General features: G+C 48.1%; 1 protein-coding gene and 1 long non-coding RNA gene across 3 annotated transcripts in view, besides 1 other annotated feature; one reads left to right on the top strand and one right to left on the bottom strand.

Annotated features, from left to right (window-relative positions):
• The window catches only part of GALNT18 (polypeptide N-acetylgalactosaminyltransferase 18), a 351129-nt gene that overhangs the window by 319585 nt on the left and 11057 nt on the right, over positions 1–20487 (top strand). For both annotated transcript variants that reach the window (NM_001363464.2, NM_198516.3), the window contains one exon: positions 9228–9392. In NM_001363464.2, the coding sequence (NP_001350393.1) occupies positions 9228–9392 (165 nt within the window). The remainder of the gene's footprint in view (positions 1–9227; positions 9393–20487) is intronic.
• On the bottom strand, positions 3542–5041 carry LOC124902633 (uncharacterized). Its single transcript, XR_007062596.1, has 3 exons — positions 4990–5041; positions 4510–4534; positions 3542–3628 (listed from the first exon to the last, which is right to left on the bottom strand). It is a non-coding gene; the product is annotated as an uncharacterized LOC124902633 (long non-coding RNA).
• Positions 11350–11849: an enhancer, noted in NCBI's record as "H3K4me1 hESC enhancer chr11:11312119-11312618 (GRCh37/hg19 assembly coordinates)". NCBI's record gives its function as "activates a minimal SCP1, AML or CMV promoter by ChIP-STARR-seq in naive H9 embryonic stem cells {active_cell/tissue: H9 hESC(naive)}" and the evidence as "EXISTENCE:reporter gene assay evidence [ECO:0000049][PMID:30033119]".

Raw genomic sequence — 20487 nt, 5'->3', positions numbered from 1 at the left:
ATGAGGGGCTAAGGCCTAGATCAGGAGAGTTTGCAAGCCCTGGTCCCTAGAGACACACCCAGAGGCTGCAGAAAAAGAGAGACTTCACCAGCAATCCCAGTAAAATGGGGCACCCATTCTTTGTCTTGTACTCAACCACACCAAGGCACCTCCAGGCCAAGCTTGCTTCCAGGCTCCTTGGACGTTTTTGAGTCAGAAGACTCTTAGAGCCCCTCAGATGTGCTAACAAGTGGGGGCACTTACTGATCTGAATCACAGCTCCCTGGGGACCAGCGGGGTGCTACCCAGTCTCCTCCCCACCTCATCCCATTGGCACTATCATTTTTCAAATGGCATTGTACTGTCAAGCGTCTGTGGCTTGTGTTTGCCTGTTTCCTCTGCTAGAAGTCCCTTGTCCTTGACAAACATTTGGGCAAACTACTCTCTCTTTAGGCTGTTGTCTTTAGACTCATTACTCACTGACAGCCCCAGGTAGAGACTGTTACTCCAGCTCTGGGGCACCCCAGCACACTGCCCACTCATCTGTTATAAGCCTGGCCATGAGTATATTCTACCCATCCTCCTGCATGTCTGTCTCTCCGCCAGGCTGATAGTCCCTGAGGGAGGGGCTCCCGCTCTTCCCTCTGCTTTCCCAATGCCCAGGCCAGCCCTGGCACCCGAGAGGCAAAGAGGGTGTTTGTTGAATTGAATGGGATCGACTCCTCACTGATGGGCTGAGTTCCAGCTACAAACTTCTCCCCAAAGAGCTGAGGGATTCGTGTGCCTGTGCTCAGCCTCACTTGTTCCCGCTCCACCAGGGAAATGGGTTCACAGAGGAAGCCCTGAGCTAGAAACCCAGCCTTACACATGTATGTCGTCACACTAATGGAGAATGGTGCTTATAAATGCTTCCCATTCCTCACGTGGACCTCGTGCTGTGGTTGATGAACATAAGATCATTCTGGAAATGACTCTCCTTCATTTCTGATTTAGCATCAGTGCACTGTGGCCCTCAGCACTGTAGCGAACTTCTGTGTCAAGGGGTTAATGACCAATAACCAAACCCTTAAATCAGCCTGCCTGTCTGCAGAGAGGCCTGCAGCTCGTTCTTTGAAAAAGAGGGAAAAGAGCCCATTTCTAATACACATTCTGGATGTCAAAGCCAGCACTCTGTAAATTGAAATTTAATAAAGCAAGGCTCCCTTCCTTCTTCCCGCCCTCTGTGTCTGGCACCCTGCCTGTTTCCATGACTCCTACCTGCAGACCTATTGATCAGACTCAAGACGGGCACAGAGATGAGAGGGTGAGGCATTGCAGCTGGACGGGTAGCCCTCTCCCTCCTGGGTCTTTTCTTGCCCTCCTATGGATACCCTCGTCCCTGCCTACCTTGTCCTTGCCCTGCAGATAGGGATAAGTTCCCCCTTCTCATTGTGGGGGCAAGCTAGATCCCGATCTGCAGGGGCATTGCTTTTAAGCTAGAATCCAGAAGGGTGTGTGTTGCGCCAACATTTCACTCCTAGGCTTCCCAAACTCTCCTTAACCCAGCTGGTTTTCAACCTTGGTTGCACATTAGAATCACCTGGAATAAATCCCCGTGCCCAGGCCCCAGTCCCTGAGACTGTGGTTTATAGGTTTTAAAGCTCCCCAGGTGATTCTGCTCTGCAGCCAAGGTGGAGACCCCTGCCTTAGCTTGATTGCATTCAGGAGTTTGTCCTTGTGATTCTTGTGATTTCATTTGCTCTCAGATATTCCTCCTCTTCCAAGATCCAGCCCACAGCTTGACTGTGCCTTCAATGACCTTTGCCAACCGTCCAATCGTAAAAGTTTGCAATCACCCCATTATGTGTGACTCTTAACTCCCTAGACAGTGTCACACTCCCCTGTTATGTCCCCCAGCCCCTCAGAGAGCTGGGCTCTTAATTCCTTGTTGGGCTGCAACCAACAAAAATATGGATAAATATCTGAAGAAATGACTGCAAGGATGCTGGTTCATCCCTTTCCAATGTAAGTCCCTGGCCAATTCCGTTGTTTTCTCCCTTATGATGGGTTCTAGAACCTCTTGTAAACAGTGTCCCAATATAACTCTCCCTTTCTACCCCTCACCACTCTCTAGGCCCAGGACAGTTTCAGCCAAAGACGATCACTGCTGCCCCATGCAGGAGGCTCAGCAGGGAGAGTCTAAATGCCCCAAAGATACCTCATTTTTCACGGGCACCTACTTGATAGGCCAGCAGAGTTGTCAAGGAAGGCTCATTTAATGGAGGAAAAACAGCTAGTCCAAATTTACATGCCCATCATTTGGAAGAGAACTCGTACTCCAGTTGTGCCTTGAAAATGTGTGTATTATTAAGTAATGTAACTAACCCTATTTTCCCAATGTTCTAGATTTGCCTGGGAGGCCCTCCTTGACTCTCCCTCTGCCCATCCCATGATTTTTGCATCTCAGTCTTTGTTTAGCTTGGTGAGGGCTCCAGAATTTCTGCAGAGGCATAACATAGGTATTGAGGTGTTGGTAGAAGAGGGGATTGGATGATTGAAAAATACATAAATTGTAGTTCCACTTTTAGTTCTTTAAGGAATCTCCAAACCATTTGATCCAGCAATCCCAATCCTGGGTGTTTACTGAAAGGAAAAGAAGTCATTCTATGGAAAAGACACTGGCACATGCGTGTTTATAGCAGCACAATTCACAATTGCAAAAACATGGAACCAGCCTAAATGCCCATTAACCAATGAGTAAAGAAAATGTGGTATATATACCATAGAATACTTCTCAGCCATGAACAGGAATGAGATAATGGCATTTGCAGCAACTTGGATGGAGTTGCAGGCCATTCTAAATGAAGTAACTCAGGAATGGAAAACCAAACATCCTATGCTCTCAGTTAAAGTGCAAGCTATGCTATGAGGATGCAAAGGTGTAAAAATTATATAATGGACTCTGGGGACTTGGAGGAAGAGGTGGGAGGGAAGTGAGGGATAAAAGATACACAATGGGGCCAGGCACAGTGGCTGTGCCTGTAATCCCAGCACTTTCAGAGGCCGAGGCGAGCAGTTCACCTGAGGTCAGGAGTTCGAGACCAGCCTGGCCAACATGTTGAAACCCTGTCCCTACTAAAAGTAAAAAAAATTAGCTGGGTGTGGTAGTATACGCCTGTAATCCCAGCCACTTGGGAGGCTGAGTCAGGAGACTTGCTTGAACCTGGGAGGCGGAGGTTGCAGTGAGCTGAGATCATGCCACTGCACCCCAGACTGAGCGACAGAGTGAGACTGTCAAAAAATTAAAAAATAAAAACCCTACACATTAGGCAGAGTATCCACTGCTTGGGTGCTGGGTGCACCAAAATCTCAGAAAGCACTACTAAAGAATTTATACAACCGAACACCACTTGTTCCCCAAAAACTATTGACATAATAATTTAAAAATAAAAATACGTAGATTGGCCATATCAAAGAATGCAAGGGAGTGGGGCCTGGTGGAGGTTGGAGGCGGGAGGCAGGAGGTTGAGATTCTCATCTGCATGTTTGCAAAGGCTCTTTGGTGGAGTAGAAGCTAACAAAGGCCTACTCATCTGCAACGTCCTCCTCCTGGACAGAAGCCTCCTGCTTCAGAGAAGTGGTTTTCAAACTTCTTAAAATTCATCATAACCTGTTGTTCAAAGAAAATGTTATATGAAAGCCAGTTATCCAAAAGACAAAAGAAGACCTGCTGTGATGGGGCTGGGAGAGGGGCTCTAGAACCCCACCCACAATGGCCCCTGAGACCCCTTCTTGGAATCCCCAGAGCTCAGCGTGACAACCTGGTGGGAACGGCCCTGGTAGTCCCATTGCTGGTTCATGGGTGAGTTCATGGTGGCCCTCGGGACCAAGCTCCCGGGCCTGGGCAGCTGCAGCTGAGGTTCGGGACTGGGCGGAGGCAGTGGCCATCAGTGCAGCCGAGGAGAGCCCCTCCAAGGAATGGGTAAGGGGCCACAGGCCCTGAGCTGCCAGAACTCAGCCTTGCTCAGGACTTCTCCCTAGGCAAGGAGGGGAGAGAGCAACTGCCTACCTGAGTGTCTTCACAAGTTTTTAAAACTCTCATAGCCTCAGTTTCCTTATCCTTAAAAGTGGCAGTAGCCACGGGCATGGAAAACACCTAGCAGAGGACTGCTAGGCGCACAAAACTATGTGTGTTTTCTTCTCTTCCTTCCCTTCCTGAAGCTGTGGCAGAGTTTCCATCAGCCAGGTGAGGCTTGACACATGTGAGGGGTGGCTTCTTTGGAGGGCTAGAGGCCAGGCTCTGAGACCAGGGTATCCTGCAGGATGGGGGCCCTTGCCCCAAGGTGAGGGACAGAGTCAGGAGAACCTCCGGCCCTGGGGGACGTTACCCAGCCTCGACTCTGTGGCTCTAAAGGCAGGAATGTGCAACCAGAGTTCTGTGGTCTCCCTGGCCAGCTGTTAGCTCTCAGTCATGGCTCCTACCCCTGGCCTGGAGGAGAGGAAAATGCCACTAGCGTAAGATCCAGGATACGGATGTGTTGATTGTTTTACCTTGCAGGTGATTTTGCTCTTCCTCCTGCAAGAATCAAAATGAAATGCTGGAGATCTGGTTTGCAGCCCTGCTGAGCTGTGTAGAGCTGAGTAGAGAATGAGCCAAATCAATCATTGGCAGCTGAGGAGGAGCTGAGTGGGCGGGGATGACGTTTCTCTGCCCCGGGGGTTTGTAAGACGTCCACAGGCAGGATAACAGCTCACCCCAGCCTCAGACCAGAGTTACAGGAGGGATGCTGCTGTCTCAGAACTTTGTAGCATCTTTTATTCTAGGCTCCTCCAGCTCTCTGGTACTGTCTTAGTCCAGGCCCCCATCATGGTTGGAAGGGATCACAGTGGAAGTCCTCTCCCGGCTCCCCCTGCCCCTCCCAGCCTGGAGGCTGGAGCTGGAGTGACCCCAGGGAGGTGGGCAAGGGAGGTGAGTGGTCGCACATATGGCTCTGGAGTTAAACTGCCTCGCTGTAAATCTCAGCTACTCACCAACCGTGCGACTTTGGAAACATTGCTTATGGTCTCCGTGCCTCAGCTTTCTCGTCTGTAAGGTAAGGGATAATATTAGTACCTGCCTCATGAGTTATTGCTAAGATTAAACAAGATAAAGCATGTAAGTCATTTCATGTCTGGCACAGTGTAAGAGGTAAAAACATGTTAGCTTTTATTATACCTTAAGTTGGGGTATCTCAACAGCGGCACTACTGACATTTTGGCTAGATAATTCTTTGCTGTGGGGGGCTGTCCTGTGCACTTAGGATGTTGAGTGGGATCCCAGACCAGCCACTAGACACCTCCTACCACCCCCACCATCATGACAACCAAAAATGTCTCCAGGCATTCCAGATAGCCCCTGGTTTATAACATTCCTCCACTGAGGACCATCGTTCTAAGTCACTTTTTGCCTTAAACGTTCCAGAGTCCCCATTGCTCAGAAAGCTTAGCTATGCTTGCTGGGACTGCAGGCACTGAAGGTAGGGCATCTTGAACACCTTTTTTGTGTTCGAGCAATTTGTTTATTTAATCCGCTAGGCTGGGCTTCTGAGATGTCCATGTGAGGACTTGAGAAAATCCTCTTTGCCGAACCTCCCTCTGTGATCTGCCAGCCTTGTGATTACGCCAGTCAAGAGGCACTTTGTTGTTTTGTTTTTAAATAACAATCGTCTGCCCCATTATGATTTTCCCAGACTCTGGAGCAATAAACAGCTCTGATGACAGCTGTACCAGATAGTAAGTGCACACGTCTCTCCCAGCATCTCCCTAAACTCTTCAGAGCAGCTAAGTGGATAAAACTGATTTCAGCTGTTACCTGAGTAGCCACTTGTGTCTGCCAAGTCTGCTCCAGAGACAAGAACCAGGCTTTGATGACAGAAGAAGAAAAACATGGGAATGACTGGCTCCCTGGCTGTCCTTGTCTCACAGCCCACATCCCCAAACCTCAGGAAATCTGGGTCCTGGCATGCAGGGAGATTAAGAGCTACAGTGTCCTAAGGAGGTCACAGTGCATTCAACCCAGGGGTATAAACAGGTGTGCACCTTTTGGTGAGAGGCCCAGGTGGCAGGCTGAGGCTCCACACAGTTGAATATTCAGGGCAGTCTTTCTGGATATGGTGGGTTCTCGTTTCTATTTTCAAAGTAGTAAGAGTTGGGGTAGGTGAGTACAAGAAGCAGGGGCACTTCTCATATTCATGTGATTGGGGTCATTGTTTCCTGATATGTTGTTGGTTTCCCTAATGCGGCATGGCTTCTCCAGGACAGGGACCATGGCTTTTCTCATTTCTGTAGTCCTAGATCCCAACTTAGAGATTACTTGTTAGTTGAATAGAGGTATGGGTGTGATGTCTAACTCTATGGCTGTTTAATTTTCTCCATCCTACCAGTTGCCAAGTTCTCCCTCAACTCCAATAAACTAGAAGCCACAGGACATCAGCTTTCTTCGGTGGTGACCTGGAAATCCAGGCCACACAATGGACAGTCTCAGGATTCTGATGAGCAAACCACCTCTTGCCCAGGATAGCTTTGAAGAGGCTCCCCTTGCCTCTTGTTCTGGTTACATTTCCACATCAAAGCTGGACATCCCACATTTGGCCTCTGCTCAGAACTTTGGTCACAGTGAATCCTTCACCTTTGTTATAGAAAAACTCAGTCATTTTAGTCATTTTGATATCAATTACCATGGATTTGCCAAGCTTGATAACTTGTAAAGTGACCACAGAGAGCAGATCTTAGCTGTAATGAGCGTCTTCTGCTCCTCCCTCCAGACACACTCTCCACCCACCTCCCTCCACCCTGAGAGGCTGACGTTATGGAACATTTCAATGGAAATCTCTGGTTTCCAGTTGGGTTCTGCCAGTGGCCTGACCTAGCATGAGATTGAAGTGGGGAGGAAAGAGTGAACTTGGGGTGTTTATTCAGCATCACTTGCCATGACCCCAAAGCCCTCCTCTCAGCTTTCTCTCCATGACTTTTCTCTTACACGTTCTGGTGACAGCTCTGTCCTCTCATTCCACTGGGCGTAGGGGTACTAACTGCTTCATGTTACTTTCCTCAGGGAATCATCCTATCCCTTGTGGTTCCCTGACACCCTACCCACACCTTTGAAAATGGTGCCTTTATTACATACTCCTCGGGTCTCCCCCTACTAAAGTGGGCCGTCTCTTTCCTGTTGAAGCATTGACTGATACACTGGCGAAAGGGAACACCCTGCCTGCCCTTCACCCCCTCCCAAGAGCCTAAAGAGACTTCTGAGCTTCAGGAAGAATCTGCCGTGAAGGACCACGCTTACTCACCCTCCTCACCTGCACTGCCTTCTTTCCACTTCTGTCCCTTTTATGGCCTAGCACACAGGTTTAAAAAGTAGTTGTCAACCACCCTCTTTTGCTAAAGCAAGAAATACATAATTTTGCCATTTTGAATTAAAAATATTTGCCAATGAGAATTTTTGAACATGTCAAGATAACCAGAGAGAACACCCTGAATATTCTAACCTAAAGTGGAAAAGTGTGGTATCTTGGTTTGTTTCTGAGGCGTAATCACTGGGGCAGGGGAGCACTAGTGATGAGGGTAGCAGCATGTTAATGCCTTTGGCAATGTGAGGAGAAGAGTTCACAGAACCCTAAGACTTTTCACTCGGAGCCCTGACTGGGAACCATGGCTCAGGGCTGAGGGAAGTTGCTGAAAACATTGAAGGCCAAGAGTCACGTGGCTTTCCCCTAGACCAGACCCAAACTACAGCCCATGGGAGACTCCTACTTTTGTAAATGATGTGTTAATGAAACACAGCCATTTGTTTATGTTTTTTTTTTTTTTTTCTGGGATGTGTTTGCACTACAGTAGGAGCGTTGAGTTTTCAGAGGCTGTATGGTCCTCTGTGCAGAAAGGAGTTTGCAGAGCTGGCCTGGCTGCTGTCCTTTGAAAGTCTTGCTTATGAGGTTGGCATCTAAGAGCCTGGGTCTCAGGATTCCCAGCAGAACTGATAAGAGTGGCTCTCTGTGCTTAATCTGATTATACAAACAAAACAGCCTAGGTTTACCACCCACTTTCCTTCTGGAAGCCTGGGATTTTGGTGCATACCAGGCAGAGGCTGCCTATGTGACAGCCCCCAGTAAAAAACCCTGGTGCTGCGTCTCTAACGTAATTCTCTGGTAGACAGCATTTCCCATGTGTTGTCACAGCTCAGAGGAATTGAGCATGTCCTGTGCAACGCCCCTGGGAGGGAACCCTTGGAAACTTGGACCTGGTTTCCCCAGGATTTGTCCAGGAGCCTTTCTCCTTTTTCCTTTTGGGTTTGTTTTGTATCCTTTTGCTGTCATAAATCATAGCAGTGAGTACAGCTATGTGCTGAGTCCTATGAGTCCCCATAGAAAATCATTTAGCTGAGGGTGGTCTTGGGGACTCCCCAGCACACCCAGAAAACCAAACATTTGTCATCCTGACCTTTAAGAAAAAGTTGGCCACCTCCTGCTCTGCACAGTCTTAGTGTGCATGGAAATTGTTATACATCTCCCATCCCACAAGACTCTGCGCTCCCTGAAGGCGCAATCCAGGCTTTTTACTCTGACAAAGCACAGTATCTGACATGAAATATTTATGAAGGGAGGAAATCAGGCAATCTGTAAATAATGGATTCAAGGCAGGCAGATCACGAGGTCAGGAGTTTGAAACCAGCCTGACCAACATGGTGAAACCCCGTTTCTACTAAAAATACAAAAATTAGCCGGGCATGGTGGTGCGCATCTGTAATCCCAGCTACTCAGGAGACGGAGGCAGGAGAATCACTTGAGCCTGGGAGGTGGAAGGTTGCAGTGAGCCGAAATAGCGCCACTGCACTCCAGGCTGGGCAACAGAGCAAGACTCTGTCTCCAAAAAAAAAAAAAAAAAAAAAAAAGAGGGGTTTGTAAACTGGGTGAAGAAATAAATTTAAAAGGTTATGACCAATGTTTTCCAATGAAAGATTAGAACAGAAATCAGTGTATATTACATATGTAAGGGTGTTTTATTTCTTGTAGTTATACAGGTGGACCAGACACTATACCGGATCATAATGTAAAAGGGTTTCTTCTTGTCCATTGCAATAGAAAATAATCTGAAGGCCACTGGATGTGAAGACTCCGGGGTCTTCCCTAACTGTGGCCTCTCTGCCAGCTGCCTGGAAGAATCACCACCTATGCTCCTGTCTCCGTGGCCATTGGCATTTATCCACACTCTCTCCCTCCCTCCGCCCCCAGAACGTGTACTACACGAGCAGTCAGCAGATCCATGTGGGCATTCTGAGCCCCACCGTGGATGATGATGACAACCGATGCCTGGTGGACGTCAACAGCCGGCCCCGGCTCATCGAATGCAGCTACGCCAAAGCCAAGAGGATGAAGCTTCACTGGCAGTTCTCTCAGGTAACAGCCCCAGAGCCCGGGCACAGTGGCAGCCATCGTGGAAAACCAGGAGAGTGGCCTCAGGGGCCAGGGAGGTGGTGGAGGAGAGGGGAAGGGGAAGGAGAGACAGACTGGCAGTAGTGAGGCTGTGGCTCCAGACTGCTTTGCTTCTCAGGGATTTGCTGATCAAATTACCATGTGCTGTGGGTCTCATGTGTTGACTATTGACCCCTGTGATATTGGCTCTGAGGGAGTTTATTATTATTGTTGTTGTTTTATTATAATGATTTTATTATTGTACTTTTTAGATATAAGGAAACTGAGGCTCAGAGATGGGAGTCCCCTGCCCAGAGTCTCACAGCTGGGGCAGGGCTGGGATATAAACTCAGGTCTTTCTGACTTTAAACCTTCACGTTTCTCCTATACAAGCCTCTGCTCACGAGATGGAGCCCCCAGTCTCCCAGATGTAGACAGTGCTGGGTCTCTGATCTGCAACCCCCTCTGCCTTCCACGCAGTATTGGGTCACTCTGGGAGAAGAGGTTTCCTTGCCAGACAGCATCTTGGGGCCATTTGGCGAAAGGCAGTCCTCACACTAGTGACCGTGGGACATTCCTTTATTAAGTCTCTGTTAATTCAGGGGCCCATATTTGACTTCCTGCTCTTCACTGGCCCCTAGTAGCTCCCATTATAGAATGTTGCCAAGGATCTAGATGCCTAGCTTTGAGGAGAACTTCTGCCTCTGCCCAGAGGTCTCCTAGTCACCAGGGAATCTGCTAAGGTAGGATCCATTTTCAGCCACAGATAGGGATGCCTGCCTCCCAGGTGGAGCAGGTAAAGCGTTAATAACAGGAAGTGAGGGAGCCCATGGGGTTGTGGAGCCTCAGGGCTGCCTGGGGGCTGTACATGGTGGACACTCCCAGGGAAGTTCGGGAGGGAACACCTGTATTCATGGAACTGAGTGGCAGGAGTCCCTGACTCCAGCCTCCCGGCAAGCTGCTTCTCCCCTGGTGAGGATGGAGGCTGCTGGGGGCACTGCAAGGAGCTTTGGAAGCTGGCTATACCTTGATTCCAATCCTGGCATCCAGTTACTCTCCCTGTAGCAAGGGTGATGGTAAGGAGAGTCCCAGCTACATCATATTGTATGGGCATAGGGCACCTTTGACTGTGGTCTGGGTGTGCAGAATTAGAGCACTTACAGAGACTCTTAGGTCCTAAATAAACAGTGAATGTCAATACTGAGCTGGAAGTTCAAAACAAGGTCATGGACTTAGGAGCTAGCTAGAAAGCAGAACCAAGAGCCTAAACCAGGGCTTTGTGAACACAGGAAAGCAGATGGTGGAGAGGAGCCCAGGAGCCAAATGGGAGCATTTCCGAGGGCAGGTGGAGGATGCAGGTGGCAGCTCTGTGAGTCCCAGCTCACCCTGCAAAGTGTCGGGGGTTCAATGAAAGGGAACTCATGCAAAGGACTCATGGCTCCTGCTCCTTCCTGTCTATGTAACCTTTGACATGTGCTGTAAACTGTGAAGTTCTATCCCAATAGGAATAACAGCTAACATTCATACAGTACTTACTATGTGTCAGGCATATATTAACTCATTTAATCCTCACCAAACCCAGATGTGATAGGTACCACCTGACCTCATAGATGAGGAAACTGAGTCACAGAGAAGTTAACGAACATGCCCAAGGTGCTCATGTTGGTCATTATTTATGAAATAGTTCAAATTCTCTCTTACTTCTCATCACTGAAGCTATGTCGGAAGTGGCCACGTGGGAGAAGGCCAGAGGTCAGGGCTGAGGCTTGAGACACAGGGTGTTCATCCTCCCACCTCCCTCTCTGTGGAAACACCAGATGCCCCAGCTGGGAGCTACTGCTGACTTGACACTGTGCCTAGCAGAAGCCTTCATCACTTTCCTCTGCCAGATTTCCAGCTCAGGGGCCAGAGGATGAGGCTACATTTCCCTCCTTTCCTCCTTCAAGTTGAGAGGCAGAGGGAGGCCTGGGGTGTGTGGTGTGGAAGGACAGTTAGGTATATGCCCAGTGAAGGATGGCTGTTGTTTCTCAAGTCGAGCTGGGTGCAAAGTAGGCTTGTAGGTTGAAGACAACAGGGTCCTGAGTGCATATTCCGGGCTCCGTGGAGGTGAGTGGGGCTGACTTTGCTGGGGCGAAATGGTCTTCATGCCTCAGACTGTCTTCAGAGTCTATGGAGGTCACAAGGGACCATTTTCTACTGCCCTCAGCCAGACCTGCTGGGCCTCTGGGTTCAGCTTGCCCTGCCGTCTGTGAATGGAACGAATGGAACCATGCAGGAAGTTGGTGGTGGTGCAGCTAGGGGTGGGCAGGGCTGGTGGTTTCTCAGGAGACAATGTACTTAATTGGGAATGAATGTTAAGAACCTGGGAGCCTGGTCTCTTTGGAAGGAGTGAAGGGCATTCCAGGGAGAGGAAACAGCATGTGTGAAAGTTGTGACATCGAAAGCAGGCTGTGCTCAGGGAGCTGCCGGGAGTCAGGGGTGGCCGATCCTGGAGGGCACAGTGGGGAGCGGCTGAAGAGTCTGGAAGGCCAACTGGGCTAGGCCTGGAGGCCACAGGGCCTGGTGGATTTGATTCTGTGGGAGATAAGGATATGTAACCCCAGGTCATGTTTAGGTCTGGGATTTTGAAAGCCCCCCTCTGGCAGGGATTGTGAAGCTAGATTAGGAGAGATTCTAGAAAAGGAAAGAAGCAGGATGAAGAGTTAGCAGGAGATTGAGATGCAGTTTGAAGATTTAGCCATTTCTTCCTCCCTCTCCTCCATGACCCCGGGGTCTTCATAGCCTGCGTCAGCCCCCAAAGTCTCCTCTTAGCACAGGCTCTAAGGCCAATCCTAGGGACTCAGCTTTGGTGGTGTGGGCTGGAAATGTTGACAGGCATCACCAGGAGTCCTCAATCGACAAGAGTACTGCTTCAGATTACTGCAGGAGGAGGATGAGCAGTGGCCTCTGGGCTGTCTTGGAGTAGCCCCTGGAGGCCACAGCCCAGCCAGGCACTTGTAGCCCTGGGGACTTGGTGTCATCCAGACATGGGTATTCCTGAACTGAAGTAAGCCTCCAGCCCTCTTCAGACTCCTCTGCCTGTGAGCCTCAGCCTTTCTGTGTTCAGCCTTATACAGTTTGAGGTTAATAGCACAGCAAGCCCACCTCCAATATGAGACATTGAGATGAAGTCACCCTCCAAGATCACATGGCCTGAGAGTGGTAGATTCACTGGCTGAATCTGAAGCCCAGGCTGCTTTGACATCCAAGACCTGCACCCAGACACTTCTACCCTCTTTCCAGCCCTCACAGAATCCTTCCCACCCACGCTCTGAGGTCCCCACTGGAGTAACTCAGTCTCATCTCCTGTGCACACCTAGATGCCTTGGGGCTGTGGCCAGCGCTCCCCACTCCTCCCATCTTGTCTGTCCATCCTGGCTATGGCAGAGAAGGAAACACTGTTGTAAAATGGGCATCCTTGAGGCAAAGTCACCCCAAGTTCCAGCTCCCTCCTTCCCTTATCCCAGGGCATGGCTTGAAAAGGCAGCCCCACACGATTCCTGTTTAAACAGACATAGCAGTCAACAAAGCAGGCATCTGTGGCACAAGGCTCTTCGGTGACTGGGCAGTTTTCAGCCACTTTGGCATATGTCTACTTAAAACTCCCCGGAGTGCTTTGGCAACCATATATTTGATCCTTCTACAAAAGGGAACTGTTTGGAAATACTATTTTTGAATTCCTAGTTTTCAGACCCAGAGCAGCCACTCTCACTTGCTATTTAATAATTAATATATGTGGAAGTTTTGCTTACTGCAAAATGATCGATATTTATCAGGTGACCTGGAATCTCTCCTCGAGCCCTCATTGGTGAGGAGTCGCTGTTGACAAGGCCTGAAGAAGCCAGGAGCCTCTGAAATGATTAAAGTCTTGTGCTTGGGCTAATTTTCTTGCAACAGGTTTTAATCTTTGCAAATTGCATTCAGATCCTACCAACTAGAACGTTCTGGTACTCAAGTTGGGCTGAAAGGAGCTTTTACTGGGTGCATTTCAAATCTCCTTTCTGGTTTCACATTATGCACTATTTATTCTCCTGAGGACCACATTTAAGCTCCACAGACACTCAGGCTGAATTAATTTTAAAATAATCTAGTGTGTTTTCCCAGGTTCTCCTACCAAGAAGATAGATAGGCATTTGCATATCTTAGTGTTCCATCTCATACCCTGATTTTCTGCTTAACAAATAAAATACATTTCCTCTAACCCCCACAAGCTCTTCTGAATTTCCAATACTTCAGGCTGAACCAGGACAGCGTTAGATACTGACACTGAGAAACCACATTTGATGAAAACATCTCTTGGCAACGCTGATGTGCAGGACTCTGATGAGCAATTTTCCAATGATGAACAGTCTTTCCTTTAGTCGTTCATCAAACATTTATTGAGCATGGGGGTTGGACAGGAGGAATGCAGATATAAATCAGACACAGCTTCTGCCCTCAAGGAGCTCATGGGCATGTAAACACAATGGAACCGAATGATGAGAACAGAAACCGAGGGGTGTGCTGTGTTCTGAGAGCCTGGGATGACCGACTTGGTCTGCAGAACTCAGAGATGGCTTCACATAGGAGGCTTGTTTGATTTATATCATAAAGGTTGTAGAGACAGTTTCCAAGCATAGAACATCCCAAGTAGAGGCTCACTTGGGCAAAGGCATGAAATAGCTGAGCATATTTTAGTAGTAGGAATCCATTGTCTGTTGTGTGCAGAATTTAGAGTTTTTGATGGGACAAGTAGGAGATAAGACTTAGAGTCATGTAGAGCAGATAATGATGGTTGTTGAAAGCCATTCCAAGGAGGTAGACTTCACATTAAAAGCAGAAGGAAGGAATGGGGAAGGTTCTTAAGTAGTAGATTTCCATGGTGGGGTGTGCAAAATCCCCCTGGCAGCTGAAAGCAGGTGGATCAGAAGGAAAGAGGCTAGAAACAGGGAAGCAAGTTAAGGAGGAAACTGTTTCATTGTCCCGGGAAGAGATAGGAGGACTTGGTTGCCACAGGGGTGTGGGGACATGCAGCTATCAGGGAGGACTTTGAGAGACATTTCAGCAGGTTATTACACAATGATGGATTAGATGATGGTAGTCGGGCAGTGGAGTGGTTCTCAATACAGGACCATTGCCAGCCCTGTGTTTGAGAACATTTGGTGGGCAGGCAGAATTGCCTCCCTCAAGCTACACACCCTCCCTAAACAGCTGATGTCTCCCGCATCAGCACATGACAAAACTTCATAATATTAGAAGTGGCAGTTGTTGCCTTCAGTGATTTTTTCCTGTTTGTGATTCCTCCAGGATTAAAGAACTTCTAAAACTACCTACCTACTGGGATGATAAATTCATATGCATTAAGTATATGTCTTTCAACCTTCTGAGAGTAGCCTTCGTACTGAGATTTGGGGGATTCTGGGATTCAGTGATGGATTTCTGTGAAAAAAGAGGCATTTGGTCAATGACCCCTGGACCAGTGGAGGGAGAGGGAAGAGGCAAATATCAGGTCACTACAGAGAAGAACTTTGTGGCAGGATACTTGTCAAGCAAAGCAGAGGACTGACTCTCGGTAGTAACAAGGCCACCTCTCCACCTTCAACTACCATCATTCCTTTGAATGGTTTGTAATAGCCTAATGTTAGAGGGAGTCCTCTGTTCAAAGATGTTATTGAAGAGATTCTTGCTTTAGGAAGGCTGTTGTTATGATGTGGTCCTCCAAGCTCCCACTTTCTGAAAGTCCATCTATATGTTTGAATTCATGGCTAAAGGATTGAGGACTATTTAAGACCAGAAATTGCTCAGAAAGGTCAGTGTTCTACCTGCAGATCTCTGAAGGGCTGCCTTGTGCAAGGGCCCAGCAGGGTTGTCCTATGTAGCCCTGAGGGAGGACCAGCAGGGGGAAATTAGGAACAATTTATTGAGCTGCTTCTTCATAGAGCTGGTGATGAAGCTGATGGCTTGGGCAGGTGGTGAGTTCAGGGGACCATCAGCAGGTTGTCAAAGGCTCCACAGCTGTCAGTGGAGTTGGGCTGGGTGATTTTAAGGGCTTATGGACCCTGAAATTCTATAATTCTAAGCTCCCGAAGTTAGATGGCAAACCCTGAGAAGGGTTTTTTCCACCTAGAATTCTCACTGGGCCAGCCTGAATACAAAGCATCACAAATTTGAGAATGACACTCTTAATCACACTTTATGGCATCATTTACCCCTTATTTCAACCCGTGTCCCTCTCTTCTTCCATCAGCCAACAGACTAGAGGGCAGGACTGTGTCTCACACTTCAGTATCTCCAGCACCTAATGAAAAGCCAGAGACAGAGGCAGCACCCAGCATGCTGTTGATCAAATGAAGGAGTCTTTTTAAAAAAATTCACAAATCTTAACCAAAGTCCCCCCTGTGTGCAAGGTCTTGAGCTAGGTTTGTGGGAGCCCCAAAGATGAACAAAATCCTACCTCAATGACCGTCCTCGGATGCATGCATGCTCACTGGAGAAAAAAAAAAGTCATCTAACAGTATTTCAAAGACATTTCATGTTAATAGTCCAAGGGTCCTGCTTAGCTGGAAAATCCCCAGTTCCTACAGTGAACACTTTTAGGTGGTAGCGCATCCCACCTGTGGTACACAGACACTCATTATGTAGGATACTCAAAGTTACGGCATAAACACGCACTTCTTCCGATCACCTCAGATTTGGAGGAGAGAGGTGGAAATATTTTATACTAAAACAGATATGCATATTGCATGGAGTGCAAATTTAAATGAGTATTTTTAAAAACAGGAGGATCTGATGAAATCTCAGGGTGTTGAGACTGTATTTCATGTTGCCCTCAGACTCTGGGTTCTTTGGCGGGAACATTGGCAAGGCTGAGCTTAGAGTTCAAGGGTATGCAGGGCAGACACCACACCCCAGCCCCCTGTGCTTGCTTCATTCTCAGAGCAGCGCTGATGCATTTTCCAAGTGGGGAACGTTGCGGATAGCCACAGAGATGTCTGTTAATGCCAGGAAAGGAGAAATTTTCAAGACTAGATGAGACTGCCCAGAAGAGACTGAGCCCCTAGCCAAAGTTGCCTGTCAAGGGACAATTGGCTCTGATTTGTGAGGTCTAATTTGATAATTTGATGCAAGATGAGTAACGCACGCAAAGACGAATCTATTTGCAGAGCACATTTCCCAGGGAACACCACTAATTCTGCCAAAGAATTTCCCCATGCTAGAGGAGGAGGAGGAGTCCTTGACTTTCTCCTGCTCCAATCCCCAAGTGCTGTCAGCAAGTCCAACTTTGAGAACCTTTTGTGTTGAAAAGACAATAATCGAGTATTTAATGATGGCTCCAGAATAAAACAGCCTTTCATGTCATATGAAGGGACAAGTGTAGAACTGTCCAGTTTTGAGGGACTGACAAAGCTTCGTTTAGGCCTTGGATGTGCAATTAGTTATTTTTGGTTTATGGAAGTCAGCACTTCCCTCCTCTCCCTCATCCCACAGATATCAGGGACCGGGACTAGGTGTGATGGCTCAGCTCCCCACTACCCAGACCTGGGTGAGATTTTAAAATGTATTGCTCAAACATTTATATGGTGTTTACTATGTGCCCTGCACTACTCTGTTTTATAAATGTTACTTAATCCCTATGATAGCGCTATAAGGTACTTACTATAATTATCCCCAGTTTTACAGAGGAGGAAACTGAGGCATGGAGAGATTAAGTCATTTGTCAAAAATCAGATCTGGGAATCCTGCCTCTGGGGTCCATGCTTTAAACCACCATACCATGGTCCCTTGTCCTGCCTCTGGAAAACCAGTGGATCGCTGCAATGGGAGTTTGGGGCTGGGGCCTCCCTGCTGAGCCTGTCGCAAATATGTGTGGACTGGCTGGATCCCTACCTCCTCAGCAAACTCCCTCCAGCCATCCTGCTGTCTCCATAACCCCTCTCTACCTGTGCTTTGCACTTGATGTTCCTGTTACCCCATCTTCAGTCCAAGGGGCCCTTCACACAACAAGCCCTGGGCAGAATCTCACTCAGGCAAAGGTGAGACTAAGAAAGAGAACGCCCAAGTAGTTAAAAAAAAAAAAAAAAAAAAAACACGAAAGTCTTTACTAGTAAATCAGGTGTTGAGTATTCATAATACAAAAAGACCACTTAACTCTACCAAAAAAAGACTTAATCTCAGGGTTTCTTTAACTAGCTGTAATGTCCCACACATGCTTTGAAGTATTTGATTACTAATCATTAACTACTTAACCTAGAAACTCCTGAGCTCACCATGCTTAAAGCCAAAGACCCACTGGGCTGCTTGCCCATGGAAAATTAATTAAAAAAGAAAGTGGAATGGGAATTCTAAAATAAGCAGAGAAGTATTTGGAATACACGAGCTAGTACACACACAGCGTCCTTGTGAACTCCTTGATTGCAAAAGTAAGACCAGCCTGAGCTTAACACAAATACTCCAGACGTTCCACCTCAGGATGCAAGCGACCAGCTGGGCCCAACCCTTTCCTGAAAGGGGGTCATAGCTTGTGGTCTCAAAGTGTGGTCCCAGACCACCACCACCACCAATGAAACAGCACCTGGGAACTTTAAAAGGCACATTTTCAGGCCTTATCTCAGACCTAGTGAATCAGAAGTGAGAGGGGCAGTGATCTATAGTTTAAAAAGCCCACAGGTGACTCTAACTCTTACATTCCAGGAGGAACAGGCCAGTCAGTCTGTACCACACGTAGGCACCACAGACACACTTGGGAAACTGAGGCAGAAAGATGCTTGGCTGTGTAATAACCTGGGATCTGCTCCTCGGTGCCCAAGAGACTCATGGACTGTGGCTTCCACACGCCCCAGTCTACGCACAGTTCTCTATGTTGAGACACAAATTGAGTGCCTCAGCATGCTCTGTCTCCTTTTGCAAGTGACAAGACTGAAGCCCAGAGTGGCTCAGCCATTTTCCTGAGGTGACGTGGCCAAGGCGGGGCACAGAGTCCTACGTTCTTTGCTTCTGCTCATGCCTTTCCAGTTCCTATTCCTGAAAGGCCCAGAAGGAGGAGGAATTAGGCTTGGAGAAGGGAACCTGGCTCTAGGAATTATTATTAGCCTTCAAAATTCTACACATTCAAATTTGATTTTTTTCTTTTAGCTGATGTTTCCATATTTAATTTGGTTTTCATTCCAATTAAGTTCTCTGTGTGCTACGGCTTCTCTCCTGCCAGGTTTAATTGCCCTTACTTAAATTCTTTAATTAAAAGTATTGTGTGTTTCCAGATTATGTAGTTGTAGTATTACACAAATAATGTAGATGACAGGGCTGGTGAACCAAATGACTGTGCCCTCCACAGAGGGAGGGGCCAGCCCAGGTCTCTGCACGAAGCCCCAGCCTAGAGCCATGAGACTGGGCCGGAGGCTGCAGGTTGGACCCTGCGAGTGAGGACAGAAGTCGGCTAACATGTGTCCCTTCTTCCTTCCTTCCTCCAATGCTCTGTGCCCAACACAGCACCACCCAGAGTGACCTGGTTAGCCTGTCAGTCAGATTCTGCAATGGCTGGCCCTGTCATTCAGATTAAAAGTCAAAGTCTTGCTTGTAATTCCAGCACTTTGGGAGGCTGAGGCAGGCAGATCACCTGAGGTCAGGAGTTCGAGACCAGCCTGGCCAACATGGCAAAACTCCATCTCTCCTAAAAATACAAATACTAGCCAGGCATGATGGTGCATGTCTGTAATCCCAGCTACTTGGGCAGCTGAGGCGGGAGAATCACTTGAACCTGGGATTGCATTGAGCCGAGATCCTGCTACTGCACTCCAGCCTGTGTGACAGAGTGAGACTCCATCTCAAGAAAAAAATAAAAAGCCAAAGTCTGTTCAGTGGCCACAAGGCCCTATCCACTTACCCGCACCTCTTGGACCTCATCTCCTCCCACTAACCCCAAGCTCAGGGCCCACGACTCCGCCATTTCTGCCGTGGGCCACCTCCTCCCCTCCTTGCCCTTGCTGAGATCTCAATTTTGATTGAGGATTTCCCTGGCCACCTCTTACACTTGCCGTCTGCCTCCAGCTCTCCACCACCCCGAGCCTCTTTCCTTGTCTACATTTTTGTATACAACCTTATCACCTTCTCGCATGCTTTGGAATTTATTTTTCTGCTTTCCCTACTAGAATATGGTCTCTACAAAAGCAAAGATCTTTTTCTGTTTAGTCACTGATATATCTCAGTGGCCTAGAATGGTAGGTGCTCATTAAATATGTGTTGAATGGATGGAAGGATTAATGAATAGTGTCTCTGCAGAGGGCCCTCAGAGGAAGCAGACCTAATTTTGAAGCTCGTTGAGGTGATCCTTCTCCACCCTAGGCATTGGGGCACCACCAGCTCCCTCAGTCTAGTTCACCACCACTGTGATAGGCAAGGGCTGGGGCTGGCCACCATCCTAGCGAGGAACATAAAGGGGGCAGACCCCCCTGGGTTCCCAGGCTGCCACTACTTACTGCTCATTTACTGACCATGTGACCCTGGACAAGTCTCCCAGCCTCTCTGGGCCTCAGTCTCCAAGCCTGTAAAATGGGGATAATTATTCTCTCTACCTCTCAGGGCTTTTGTCAGGAAGACCTGGAATTGGGCATGTAAAGTATTTGGCATAGTACTAGGCAAATGGTAAATAAGTGATAGTTGTTATTCCTCTCATCTCAGCTGCAGAACCTGCAGGCAGAAGTACAGTTGGTAAAACAGGAGGCTGCTCCCACGGTGCTGAGCTTCCCAGGAAGGCACTGAGTGTGGGAAAGGAAGGCTTCTTTGCAATGTTTGTGAATGAAATTTTCCGAGAGAAGAAGAAAGAGTCTGTTCAGTGAAAGAGGCTGAGGTCAAGAAGGGGGACAGGAGGAAGACAGTGCTGGTGGCCAGTGCTATCTCTGTTTTAAAAGTTTAAGCAAGTTTTAAACTTTAACCTTTTATAATTTTTGTTGAAGAGCTCCAGCATCAAAGGGTGGCCTGGTCCCTCTGTCCATATCCCAGATGTGTTCCCAGGGAGCAGGTCAGGGCTCTGCTCAGCGATGCCCCACCATGGCCTTACTACCAGTTC

Source organism: Homo sapiens, chromosome 11 (genome assembly GCF_000001405.40).
Source record: "Homo sapiens chromosome 11, GRCh38.p14 Primary Assembly".
NCBI classification, from domain to species: Eukaryota; Metazoa; Chordata; class Mammalia; order Primates; family Hominidae; genus Homo; species Homo sapiens.
The sequence above is the reverse complement of the archived record's forward strand: the minus strand, read 5'-3'. Positions and strand labels throughout refer to the sequence as shown.